Below are 13601 nucleotides of genomic sequence, written 5' to 3'. Positions count from 1 at the left end.
CAAAATATTTTCTAATATTTCTTATGAACCTCATTTCTAATGTGGAAGGCACTTTATGTTCTAAAAACTATGAATTAATTTTGGGGTGGGGGAATATGGAAGAATAATTTCAATAAAAATGGGTCCCTGCCTTTGAAAGGTATAATTATGGGTATACATATATTTTAGATATAAGTAAACTGAGGCATAGTAGGTTGAGGAACTTGCCAAGGTAAATAAAAAAAAAAGTTGAAAACAGGATTTGAAACAAGGTCTTTCTGGGTCCAAAGAATTTATCTTTATGTTATTCTAAAATGTTTCTCACACCAAGCACTGAATTTTAATGACTCTCAAGTAAGGTACCATCAGAATGACATTTCACATGAAGTAACACGATGCCCTTACTTCATTATTTTGTTTGCATTTAAGGGTCTTCCCCCTCTAGTTATTTGAAAGGACCTAACAATTAAAATGGCACCCAATGGATCATCACTCGATTTTCTAACTGAACAAATAGTACCCTCAATTTGGCACGCCCATTGCCTGAAAAATATTTATAAAAGTAAACACTTACGCAACTTTGCACAGAGCATTTGAAAACAGCTCTGATTGCTAATAACTCTCTTCAATATATACACCAGACAAGGGGGAGTTTCAACTCTTAAGCTTCAGTTATTTTTGAATTGCCTTTGTGCCAGAGAACTCTACCTTAAATTGCTTTTAAACTAGAAAATATACACTATCTCCTCTCACATAATTCAAAAGTAGTTTAAAGTTATATTTCCTAAAAGGAGAAAAATGACAAGGGAACTGTGATGAGGTCTTTGTAGTCTGTCCAAGACAACATGATTTGAAAAGTTTTGCTGTTGTGTGTGGATTTTTAGCCCCCTGCAAATGGAAGGATCTCTGGTACAAGTGTTTGGAGAAAGTTAGCTGCATTCTCTGCTGTCATAAATATGTTTGTGTGGTATTTGGAGATCCTATAAAAGGCAAGGCTAAATTTCAGTGTGAGGTGAAATGTAGTAGCTAGAGCAGCACTAGGTCTTCAATGGCTGGGATCCAATTTTCCAGGATTACTATTACCCTCAAAATGTGATCCATTCAAGTGATTTTCCTTGAGTTTAGGAAGTAAACTAGATAATTATTTCATAAATTTTATGCATTCACAGTTTACTGATGGAAATATTGTCACTGTAGTTGTTTAGGATAGTGCCCCAAAGATGTGCCTGTCACTAGTTCAGTTCCAGAAGAGGCCACTTAGTTTTACCATGTCCTCTAGTCATAGATATATCCTGTGACCCAGAGACTCAAAGAACAGGCAATAATAATACAGGGGGAAGATAAAAAATTCCCAATTCTTTGGGGAAGAAAAAGCAACTGAAAATTATATTCCCATCAAGTAGAACACAACTTGCAGATGGTATGTTTTGCATAAATGTTTGTTTAATGAACATAAAACAAATAATAAACATTAGAAACGTCATCAATACATTGAGCACATATATATAATATATATATTGAGCATCTCAAATTTACAAAGATAAAATTAGGTATAATCACTGTTTCTTAATGTTTTAGAATTATATTTTGTTAAATAAGCCACCTTTGAAGCTCAGAATCCTGGAGTTGTTGTACCTGAGCGAGTTAGAAAAACGCCACACTTTGAGACGAATTAAGAGTCCTTTATTAGCCGGCGACCAAGAGACGGCTAACGCTCAAAATTCTCTCAGCCCCGAGGAAGGGGCTTGATTAACTTTTATACTTTGGTTTAGGAATGGGGGGGGTGTCTAGTTAAAACAATTTTACAGAAATAAAGTAGGCAAAAAGTTAAAAGGATAAATGGTTACAGGAAGGTAAACAGTTCCAGGTGCAGGGGCTTTAAGACTATTACAAGGTCATAGACTGGAGGCTTTGGGTGTTATCAATCAGACGAATTCCTGGGAATATCGGATATAGCTTGCCACAGTATCTTATCAGTTAATTGCATTCTTGGATGTGCTGGGAGTCAGCTTGCACAAGTTAAGTCCTTGAGGAAGGGGCTGCCAGTGAAAGAGCCAAGATGGAGTCTGTCTGGCTCTCTTAGCTAAGGGAGAGTCAATTCAGGTGGAAACAAGGCTAGGTGATGAAAGGGAGAGTCTAAAAACAGAGTTAGTAAAAACCAGGTTAGGCATTACAGGGTTAAAAAAAAAAAGTCATAGTCAAGAGATTAATTCTACCCGCAGAGAGCTACCACATAGCCTTCATAGAAAAAGTGATATCAGAACTTTCTCTTACAGGATTAGAAGGGAGTTGCTAGATAGAGGAGTGCAGGGGCATTCCAGGCAGGAGAAGGCGTATGTCCCAAGGAATAGACATTGTGAGGAAGCATGTCTTGTGCAGAGCCTTACGAATAACTCAAAATTAAAGTTCAAAAGTGTAAAGTTTATAGTGAGGAGAGAAGAATAAAAACGGAAAAGGAACGAACAGTTTAAGATGCTGATATAGGCGGCCAGGCGCGGCGGCTCACGCCTGTAATCCCAGCACTTTGGGAGGCCGAGGCGGGCAGATCACGAGGTCAGGAGATCAAGGCCATCCTGGCTAACACGGTGAAACCTCGTCTCTACTAAAAATACAAAAAATTAGCCGGGCGTGGTGGCGGGCTCCTGTAGTCCCAGCTACTCCGGAGGCTGAGGCAGGAGAATGGCGTGAATACGGGAGGCGGAGCTTGCAGTGAGCCAGATGGTGCCACTGCACTCCAGCCTGGGCGACAGAGCGAGGCTCCGTCTCAAAAAAAAAAAAAAAAAAAAAAAGAGAGATTCTAGTATCGGCTAGAACCAGATTTGTGAATTGGAGGATTAGCTAGGGCTTGGTGTGATCGTATTTCTGTTTTGGGGAGAATCCTGGCAGCAAGTGAGATGTGGGATAGAAGAGGCTGGATGCAGGAGAGTGAGATAGGAGGCTTTATCTATTGTTAAATCAATTCACTTTAGTGGATTCCATACAGTGGCCCTTCTAATGGGAGTCCAGATTTGCATAGAGTATGCTGCCAGTGATACATGAAAGATTAATACATAAGACCTGTCTTCAAATGTGAACACTATTTTTTTCTTGTATCTCTTTCTCTATTAAAACTCTTGGAACAGAAAATTTGGGCAATTTCATTTCAGACTATATTATTTTCTGGATGTGCTTGAGGAAATGAAACAGGTTGCAAGTGAGCCTCCCTGACACTAAAGTATAAGTATAGAAACCTGGAGAGAAAGGCCTGCACAATAGCCTGAGCTAAGAAGAAAAATGCAATTGGGGGACATGTGTACAACCAGTTAAAACTTTCAAAATCAACAAGATTAAAATTTATTTTTTTACTATGTAGCTTAACATTAGATGATGTGTATATTAGGTACCTAAGTTGTCTATGTTCTCTTGGCAAAGATGCTGACTTTTAAGACAGTCAGAAAGATCCAAATGGACTCAGAATATAAAGCATGTTACACTTGCATTTTCTAAAGCTAGAAAGGATACCACGGGTCCAGCTTTACAAATTGATGAAGACCAAAAGTGTGATAGCGAGGGTGGCATTTCACTGGCATTAATGGGGTGAGGACCTCCTTCTAGATTTGTCTCTGCTGAAAATTCCCTCTAGGATTGATTGATTGATAATGTGATCTTCCCCATGTTTTAGGTGGAAACACCCACCCTCTTGAGCAAAAGACACTTCTATTGCTTAGAATAAAACAGATTCAGGGTGAATCTGGTTTCAATGAATGTGCCTTATGGCAGAAACCATGAACATTAGACTGAAGCTTTTGAAATGATTTTAGTTTTATATGATTTGTTTCTTTTTAAATGACATAGTGCATTTTTCTGTCCAATAAAAGTTACTGATACATTTTCAGTATTTTAATTCTTAATCTGAGCAAAAATAGAATCCATGCTTTGAGTCTGGTAAGGACAAAGATATACAAACCTTACTACCAAAAATTTTAATTTCCAAGTAAATACACTAGAAAAATATTCACCTTTAATAGCATATGTGCACCAGTGAATAACTGAAAAGATCAAACATACTGCATCATATGGATACTAAATATTAAATAAATACATTATCACAAGTCATACAGTAAAATTCTAAAGTTAACTAGATCTATGTGTATCACATATGTTTACATCTCAAAAACAAAACTCGTGAAGAAAAGCTAATTTTGAAATATTACATACAGAATGAAGTCAACTACAAGTACGTAAAACGCAGCACACGCATGTGATGTTGAAGATGCCTACCTATAAAGTCACAAATTGTGAGACACACACATCCATCTGCTTGAGGATAATTGTTATCTCTTGCAAGGGAAAGACAAAATTAGGATACAAAGAAAGAATATTAAGTATTTATCTTTTAAAACAAAAATGACCTAAAAAACTATTACAACATGATGAAACATATTAAATTTCTATGGTTGATATATATCAGTATCATATTTTTTGTATGTTTTTCTAAGCTTTAAGTATTTTCCGAATGTGTGGCTGAATCCACACTAATGAATCACCAACAGCATTTCAACTGATAAGCTGTAGTTATTAAATTTTAATATATTCAAAATGGCCATATTGAATCCTCTGTTATAAAAACCACCAGAGTAATCAATATTTTAGCATATTTGGTCCAACACTTACACAGTAATTGTTTCAGTGTTTACTGATTCTTTGCACTTTATGGGAGGCCAGTGGGTATCCTACGAGTAAATATCCCCAGATATCTCCAAAGTAAATAGATACATATACATGAAAAAAATAGTAGCAGCCATTTTCAGCTTTAACATTACGAGTTTTAACATGCTAAAGTGATTCCTTATAAATTCAGAGTATAAAAAAGGTGATTAGACAAGCATCCAAAACATTTGTAAGTAGCTAATATTTAAAAATCTACAAAACCCAGATAATTCCATCACATTTTCATTGATCTTTTTGTTTGTTTATTTTGGCCCTAAGAAGCAAAATCTAGCCTGCCTCAAATCAGTCAACTTCTTATTCCTGACAAGGAGTAACAGTGCCAAAACATGTTGATTCATGATAATCAAATAATCACTTTTCTAACCCTACAGTTAATCTACTTTCTGACGAAAATTAATTAAGTGGTGTTTAAGCTGATAGCCAGAAGAATACTGCACAGGTTTACCTCTACTAAAAAATAAGCTCACTAGCAGAGAGATGGACCCATGTGAGATTCACATACCTAAATAATTGCTTTGTGTAGGAGTTAATAAGATGCAAACACCTATTGATTTACTGATAATTAGACATTAGTAACTATTCCTTGTGAAAGGAAGCATTGAGAACAGCCAAAGTCGCTTAGAAAGTCTACGATCTATATTTTGTCAGAATCATATCAGATGCAGTGTTACAAATTATATCATGTTCTGAGACAGAGTAAGTCCTGCCTGCAAGGGCAGGCTTTCTGGGTCCCTCCCTTTTTATTATCAATGTGAAACATTTGTGTGTGCATGGCTTTTAAAATTAAAATGTGCGTACTAATAAATTTACTCTGAATCATGGCAAAAGTTAGTAAATAAATATAAGTTTTTTAAAAAATGAGAATGAAGTCAAGATCATAATGTAGAAAAAAAAGGGCCACATGAAATTCAGAGAAATTAAGGTCTATAGTCAGAAATTGTAATTGCTGACAGGAATAAGGCAAGTAATCTAGTTATCAAGCCTGGTAGCATGCAAAACCACAAGAGTTTATATACCTGTACCTCTACAAAAACAGCAGCACCTTATGTGTATTTTTCTTAATGTAATAAAGGCAGAGTAATCCCAGGGCTTCAGGTTAAGGCAGGGGGATTGCTTGAGGCCAGGAGTTCAAGACCAGCCTGGGCAATCCAGTGAGACCTGCATCTACAAAAAGTAAAAAATAAAATAAAATAAAAAACTAATAATAATTAGCCAGATCCAGTGGTAAGCACCTATAGCTGTAGTCCCAGCTACTCAGGAGGCTGAGTTGAGAAGATTGCTTAAGCCCATGAGTTTGAGGTTGCAGTCAGTTATGATGGCACCACTGCACTCCAGCCTGGGCAACAGAGCAAGACTCTGTAACTAAAAAAAGTCAAAAAGTAATATGAATGCAGATATACACCCAAGGGCATATACATGTACACAGACAAAAATCAACAAAAGATAGTGTGTTTTTCCAATTGTGATTCCAATGAGAAATCAACTCATTTAAGAAATTAAGTAAAGTTGAAGCTGAACATTTCAAAAACAGCTATAAAAAGATCTTCATATACATTAAAAATATCAAAATAGCAACATATATTTAATTTTATTAAAGTGAAAATGTTTGAGAAAGTAAGAAGTGTCACCTTATTTGAACTAGTCTTATGGGTAATCAGTAGGAAAAACCCGTTTATTGTGTCAATAAAGAGAGAATCAGCGTGGGGATTCTCTTGTGCTAATATTCCTGTGGAAAAATAAATGAATACACTGTAGAAAAGAGGTAAGAAGAAACTGAAGTTCATTGGCTGCACTTTGATTAATAAACAATGCTAAGCCACACAAATATTTTCATTTGGCATCAATTAATTTCATGGGCCTAAAAACATGTCATATTATTTTATAGATTATGCAATTACTAGTATTGGATTGATAATATTCACCCATAAATACCAGGGCAACTAATTAAACTGAGTAGGAAAGGATTACAAAGATTAATATATATACTACATATTTATATATGCAGAGTAATAAAATATGTATTGAAAAATACAGTATTGATTTATAACAAGTAGAGTTTTGTTAAGCACTCCAAGGTACAGATACTGCTTTACTTTGCAATCAGGAACTTTTTTCATTTCTTATAATTTTGCTCTTCACATTAACTTGTCCCTGAGGTTTAAATATTTTTTTACACATTACTTATGTATGCACTAAAATCAAATTCATATCTCATGGAGGAATTTTATTTTAAGTAAAAATGTTTATATAAATGGAAAAGTTACAAAGTTTACAAAATTAGCATCATGAGGGATGACTAAAACTGAAGCAATTTGGTTAAGATTTATAGAGAAAAAACATAAATTTTATCCCTAAATTATTACAACAAATGCTCCTTCTAGATTAAGGTGCTTCTGGCCCTGCCTCCTGTTTGAAAAGACAAAATAGTGTTATTATTGCAAGGTTGCTGTTCAGATGGACAGAAGCAAAGAAACTATCAAAAATTTTTCAAAATTCCAAATGTGACTAAAATTCTAATAATCTTGGCAAAATGTCAACACAAATACAGTCATTAATAATTTTTAAGAAGCATCTCATTCTTTTTATGTAGGATTTCTTTTCTTTTTTGTCTTTAGACAAAGAAGTCAGTGTGCACTCTCTGGGAATGATGGCTAACCCAAATTACTAAACTAGTTCTAATACCGGCTCCAAGTTATCAAGTGGCTTCAAGCAGGTTACAAAGCTTTTTTGAGCTTTTCTCTCATCATTGATCAAGAAATGAATACAAGGGTTTTCTTGTTCAAAAACTCCCTTATTTTAATTCTATAGAAATGTTATTTAAGTGTGTGGATGGAATATTCCTTACAGTGTAATCTCAGAAAGAGAATCATGGTAATAATCTCTTAGAAGTCAGAACACATCCAAATGTACTATTGTGTTTGCTGTTTCAATAAATACATGACTCCACAACTCCTATACATTATATTCAGTTCCAAAGTATTATAGTTTCAGGAAGTAAACGTGAATATTTATTAAAATGATTCTCATCTGTACATAACCAACTATGATCTTAATGGAGTCAATTACCCTTATTCTTTCACCTCCTTGTAAGACAAACAAATCTCTGCTTAATTAAAAAAGGTTTCATATACAGCATTTAAAATAGTGCATATGATAATATTCTGAAAAATAAAAAAACACAATAAAAATCCATGTTACAATGATGAAATCATAATGTTTCTTAGTCAATGTTCCCAAGGAATAATGATCAGGATTAATCCGTCAGTGTCATCAAATTGTATATGATGGCAAAACATAAGGTTGTGCCTACATCTATTTATGAATATCCAGATGTTTGGAGGTATTCAGGCATGGTATCGATTTTTTTTTCAAAGTAATCTGGATATGCTGGCAACTGGCAATCTTAGTCTATGCTGAGCCTGCACTTTATCCCTTAATGTGATTCAGATGTTTCCAAGTGTTAACACATTCACTGAATTACACTCACATAGTTAATGAAAATATTATGATCCCATAAATATAGCAAGTCAAACTAGCACCTTCTTCTAGCCCATTTCTCCAAATCCAGAGTGGTGAAGCACAACCAGTTGTTCTGATATGTGTACAAATGGTTCTGGCATTAGCCAATTCATGGCCTAGCAGGCAGCATTTGGTTTAATGGCCCCCAGTGTGAATAGATTTCTTGATTTGAATCACTAGAGATAGCCTGAAAAGTCCCTTTGTTGAGATCTAGTTTTTCTTGTCTTTCAGTAGCACAGCATAAGAGGGATAAAATTTGGCACTTAGTATCTAAGCTGTCATTTGGAAATTTCAGATTTGGATTCTCTTCTCGGCATTTAGACTTCTTAATTCAAACCATACTATACTCCCTGAGCACTAGTGCCTTATCTTCCTGCAGGAAAGGAAAAAGCAACTTTCAAATGTCACCTGGATCACCATGTCACCTCAATATCCTTGAAGCTACTAATGGGGGTTTCAATGACAGCATTATGGCTGTCTTCGAAGTGCCAATGAATTCTATTAATGTTCTATGACTAAAAATTTTAGTGATCTCTTTTATTTAAAATGAATCAAAATCCATCACTAAAGTATTTCAGACATGTTGACCTCTTTCTGATCACTAAATTTCCACAACGTGAAAAACCAGTTCTTTATCAGAAAATCATTAGAAGTCATCAGAACATGTTTTTTTGCCCACTGTACTGAAATATATACATTCCTAACATATTTGCTAGTAACTTTTATCTAGAAATTATTATATTAAGACAACAATAACATCAAACAAACAACAGGAAAAAAAACTTTCATAGTTTTAGTCAAGAAAATATCTCTACTTCTACATTTTTCTTCCCCAAAAGACATTTTCTCTTATCAAAATTTCCCAATGGCATACAAGTACATTCTCTTATGAATTTTATTTTACCTTATTCTAATGAATACATAATATGCCTGCATAAGAAAGTAAAAATTGTAAGTGCACAGCTTGAAACATTTTCTTAAAGTGAACATCCCTATGAAGCCAGCACTCAGATCACAAAAGAGAACGTTACCGTACTCTAGAAGTCTCTGCTAGGCCCCTTATCTTTACTTCTGACATAATGGATTAGCTTTAACTCTTTTTGAACTTGACAATGTGTACAGTTTTGCAACTGGCTTCTTCAGCTTACATTATTCTATGATATTTATGCATATTTATGTGCATAATTTGTTCATTCTCATTGCTTTACGGTATTCCATTGTAAGACCATACCATGATTAATTTAACCATTCAATTGCTGAGGGACATTTGAGTGGTTTCCAGTTTGTGAATATCATAAAAGTGCTGTTATGACCCTTCGAGCACATGTATCTGGTAATCATGGATACATAAATAAACTCGTACATACACATACACGTGGAATTGGTGTGGGTTAGGATATGCCCATATTCAACTTTAGTAGTTGGTGCCAAATGGTATTCCAAAGAAGTTTACTAAATTTTACTTTCACCAGCAACATACAAAAGTTGGAGTTGACCTGTACTTCACCAATATTTGGCAGTGTCTGTAGATTATTTTCATTGTTCTGGAGGATGTGCAGTAGTGTTTCTATCTTGTTTGATTTACTCTTGACTCATAACTAATAAACTTGATTATCTTTACATGTATTTACTATCCTTTTGAACATGTTCATTGAGGAAGTCCTTGTTCAAATTTTTGGTCCACTTTTATGTTTTGTTAACCAAGCATGATAATTACACATACAGATAATTGCATAAAATATGCAGTTAAAATAATTTTCATTTTTTTAGAGCAGTTACATGTTCACAGCAAAACTGAGCAGAGGGTACAGAGAATTCCTAAACACTCCTTACCTCCACACATGCATAGCGTCCCCGACTATCAATAGCTTGCAATGAACTGGTGTACTTGTTATAACAGAAAAACTTACATTGACTCATCATTATCACAAAATATCCATAGTTTACAATGGGGTTCACTCTTGTTGTTATGCATTCTATGGGTTTTGACAAATGCCTGATGGCATGTATCTACTATTATAATATTATACAGAATAGTTTCAGTGCTGGAGAAATTATCTGTGCTCCACCAACTCATGTCCCCTTCCCCTAACCCCTGGCAATCATTGATTTTTTTTATTGTCTTCATAGTTTTGGCTTTTCCAGAGTGTCATATAGTTGGAATAATAGAGAATTTAGCTATCTCAAATTGGCTTCTTTCAGTTAGTAACATGCATTTAAGTTCTCTGTCTTTTCATGGGTTTATATCTCATTTCTTTTTAGTATTTAATATTTCACTCTCTGGATTTACCAGTTTATCCATTCATCTATTGAAAGTCATTTTAGTTGACTCCAAGTTTTGGCAATTATGAATAAAGCTGCTATAAACATCTGTGTGTAAGTTTTTGTGTGAATTGTATGGTTAGCGTGTTTAGTTTTATAAGAAACCGCCAAAGCACCTTCCAAAATGACTATATCATTTTATATTCCCGTCAACAATGAATGAGAGTTTCTGTTGCTCCACATCCTCACCAGCATTTGCTTGTCAGTGTTTCAGATTTTGACCATTATAATGATGTGTAGTGGTATCACATTTTTGTTTTAATTTGCATTTCTCCAAATGATGTATTATGTTAAGCATATAAAAAATATGCTTATTTAGCATTTGCATGTCTTCTTCAGTGAGGTGTCTGTTCAAATCTGTGTCCATATGTTAATCAAGTTGTTTGTTTTCCCAGAGTTGACTTCTTTTTTTTTTTTAATTTTTTTTTACTTTAAGTTTTAGGGTACATGTGCACATTGTGCAGGTTAGTTACATACGTATACATGTGCCATGCTGGTGTGCTGCACCCACTAACTCGTCATCTAGCATTAGGTATATCTCCCACTGCTATCCCTCCCCCCTCCCCCCACCCCACAACAGGCCCCAGAGTGTGATGTTCCCCTTCCTGTGTCCATGTGATCTCATTGTTCAATTCCCACCTATGAGTGAGAATATGCGGTGTTTGGTTTTTTGTTCTTGCGATAGTTTACTGACAATGATGATTTCCAATTTCATCCATGTCCCTACAAAGGACATGAACTCATCATTTTTTATGGCTGCATAATATTCCATGGTGTATATGTGCCACATTTTCTTAATCCAGTCTATCATTGTTGGACATTTGGCTTGGTTCCAAGTCTTTGCTATTGTGAATAATGCCGCAATAAACATACGTGTGCCTGTGTCTTTATAGCAGCATGATTTATAGTCCTTTGGGTATATACCCAGTAATGGGATGGCTGGGTCAAATGGTATTTCTAGTTCTAGATCACTGAGGAATCGCCACACCGACTTCCACAATGGTTGAACTAGTTTACAGTCCCACCAACAGTGTAAAAGTGTTCCTATTTCTCCACATCCTCTCCAGCACCTGTTGTTTCCTGACTTTTTAATGATCGCCATTCTAACTGGTGTGAGATGGTATCTCATTGTGGTTTTGATTTGCATTTCTCTGATGGCCAGTGATGATGAGCATTTTTTCATGTGTTTTTTGGCTGCATAAATGTCTTCTTTTGAGAAGTGTCTGTTCATGTCCTTTGCCCACTTTTTGATGGGGTTGTTTGTTTTTTTCTTGTAAATTTGTTTGAGTTCATTGTAGATTCTGGATATTAGCCCTTTGTCAGATGAGTAGGTTGCGAAAATTTTCTCCCATTTTGTAGGTTGCCTGTTCACTCTGATGGTAGTTTCTGTTGCTGTGCAGAAGCTCTTTAGTTTAATTAGATCCCATTTGTCAATTTTGACTTTTGTTGCCATTGCTTTTGGTGTTTTAGACATGAAGTCCTTGCCCATGCCTATGTCCTGAATGGTAATGCCTAGGTTTTCTTCTAGGGTTTTTATGGTTTTAGGTCTAACATTTAAGTCTTTAATCCATCTTGAATTGATTTTTGTAATACTGGCAAACCGAATCCAGCAGCACATCAAAAAGCTTATCCAGCATGATCAAGTGGGCTTCATCCCTGGGATGCAAGCAAGGCTGGTTCAATATACGCAAATCAATAAATGTAATCCAGCATATAAACAGAGCCAAAGACAAAAACCACATGATTATCTCAATAGATGCAGAAAAGGCCTTTGACAAAATTCAACAACCCTTCATGCTAAAAACTCTCAATAAATTAGGTATTGATGGGACGTATTTCAAAATAATAAGAGCTATCTATGACCAACCCACAGGCAATATCATACTGAATGGGCAAAAACTGGAAGCATTCCCTTCGAAAACTGGCACAAGACAGGGATGCCCTCTCTCACCACTCCTATTCAACATAGTGTTGGAAGTTCTGGCCAGGGCAATTAGGCAGGAGAAGGAAATAAAGGGTATTCAATTAGGAAAAGAGGAAGTCAAATTGTCCCTGTTTGCAGATGACATGATTGTATATCTAGAAAACCCCATCGTCTCAGCCCAAAATCTCCTTAAGCTGATAAGTAACTTCAGCAAAGTCTCAGGATACAAAATCAATGTGCAAAAATCACAAGCATTCCTTTACACCAACAACAGACAAACAGAGAGCCAAATCATGAGTGAACTCCCATTCACAATTGCTTCCAAGAGAATAAAATACCTAGGAATCCAACTTACAAGGGATGTGAAGGACCTCTTCAAGGAGAACTACAAACCGCTGCTCAAGGAAATAAAAGAGGATACAAACAAATGGAAGAACATTCCATGCTCATGGGTAGGAAGAATCAATATCGTGAAAATGGCCATACTGTCCAAGGTAATTTACAGATTCAATGCCATCCCCATAAAGCTACCAATGCCTTTCTTCACAGAATTGGAAAAAACTACTTTAAAGTTCATATGGAACCAAAAAAGAGCCCGCATCGCCAAGTCAATCCTAAGCCAAAAGAACAAAGCTGGAGGCATCACACTACCTGACTTCAAACTATACTACAAGGCTACAGTAACCAAAAGAGCATAGTACTGGTACCAAAACAGAGATATAGATCAATGGAACAGAACAGAGCCCTCAGAAATAACGCCGCATATCTACAACTGTCTGATCTTTGACAAACCTGAGAAAAACAAGCAATGGGGAAAGGATTCCCTATTTAATAAATGGTGCTGGGAAACTGGCTAGCCATATGTAGAAAGCTGAAACTGGATCCCTTCCTTACACCCTGCGTTGACTTCTAAGGGTTCTTTGTATATTTTAATAGCAGTGTCTTATCAACTGTATCTTTTGCAAATATTTTATCTCATTCTGGGGCTTTCTTTTAAATTTTATTTCATGTTTATTATCTTTTAATTATCTTGACCATATTTTTCATGAAGCAGAAGCTTTTTAATTTTAATAAAGTTCAGATTATTATTTATTTCTTTCATGAATTGTACTTCTGATGTTATATCTAAAATGTCATTATTATGCTC

The sequence above is a fragment of the Homo sapiens genome, chromosome 14 (assembly GCF_000001405.40).
Source record: "Homo sapiens chromosome 14, GRCh38.p14 Primary Assembly".
NCBI classification, from domain to species: domain Eukaryota; kingdom Metazoa; phylum Chordata; class Mammalia; order Primates; family Hominidae; genus Homo; species Homo sapiens.
The sequence above is the reverse complement of the archived record's forward strand: the minus strand, read 5'-3'. Positions refer to the sequence as shown.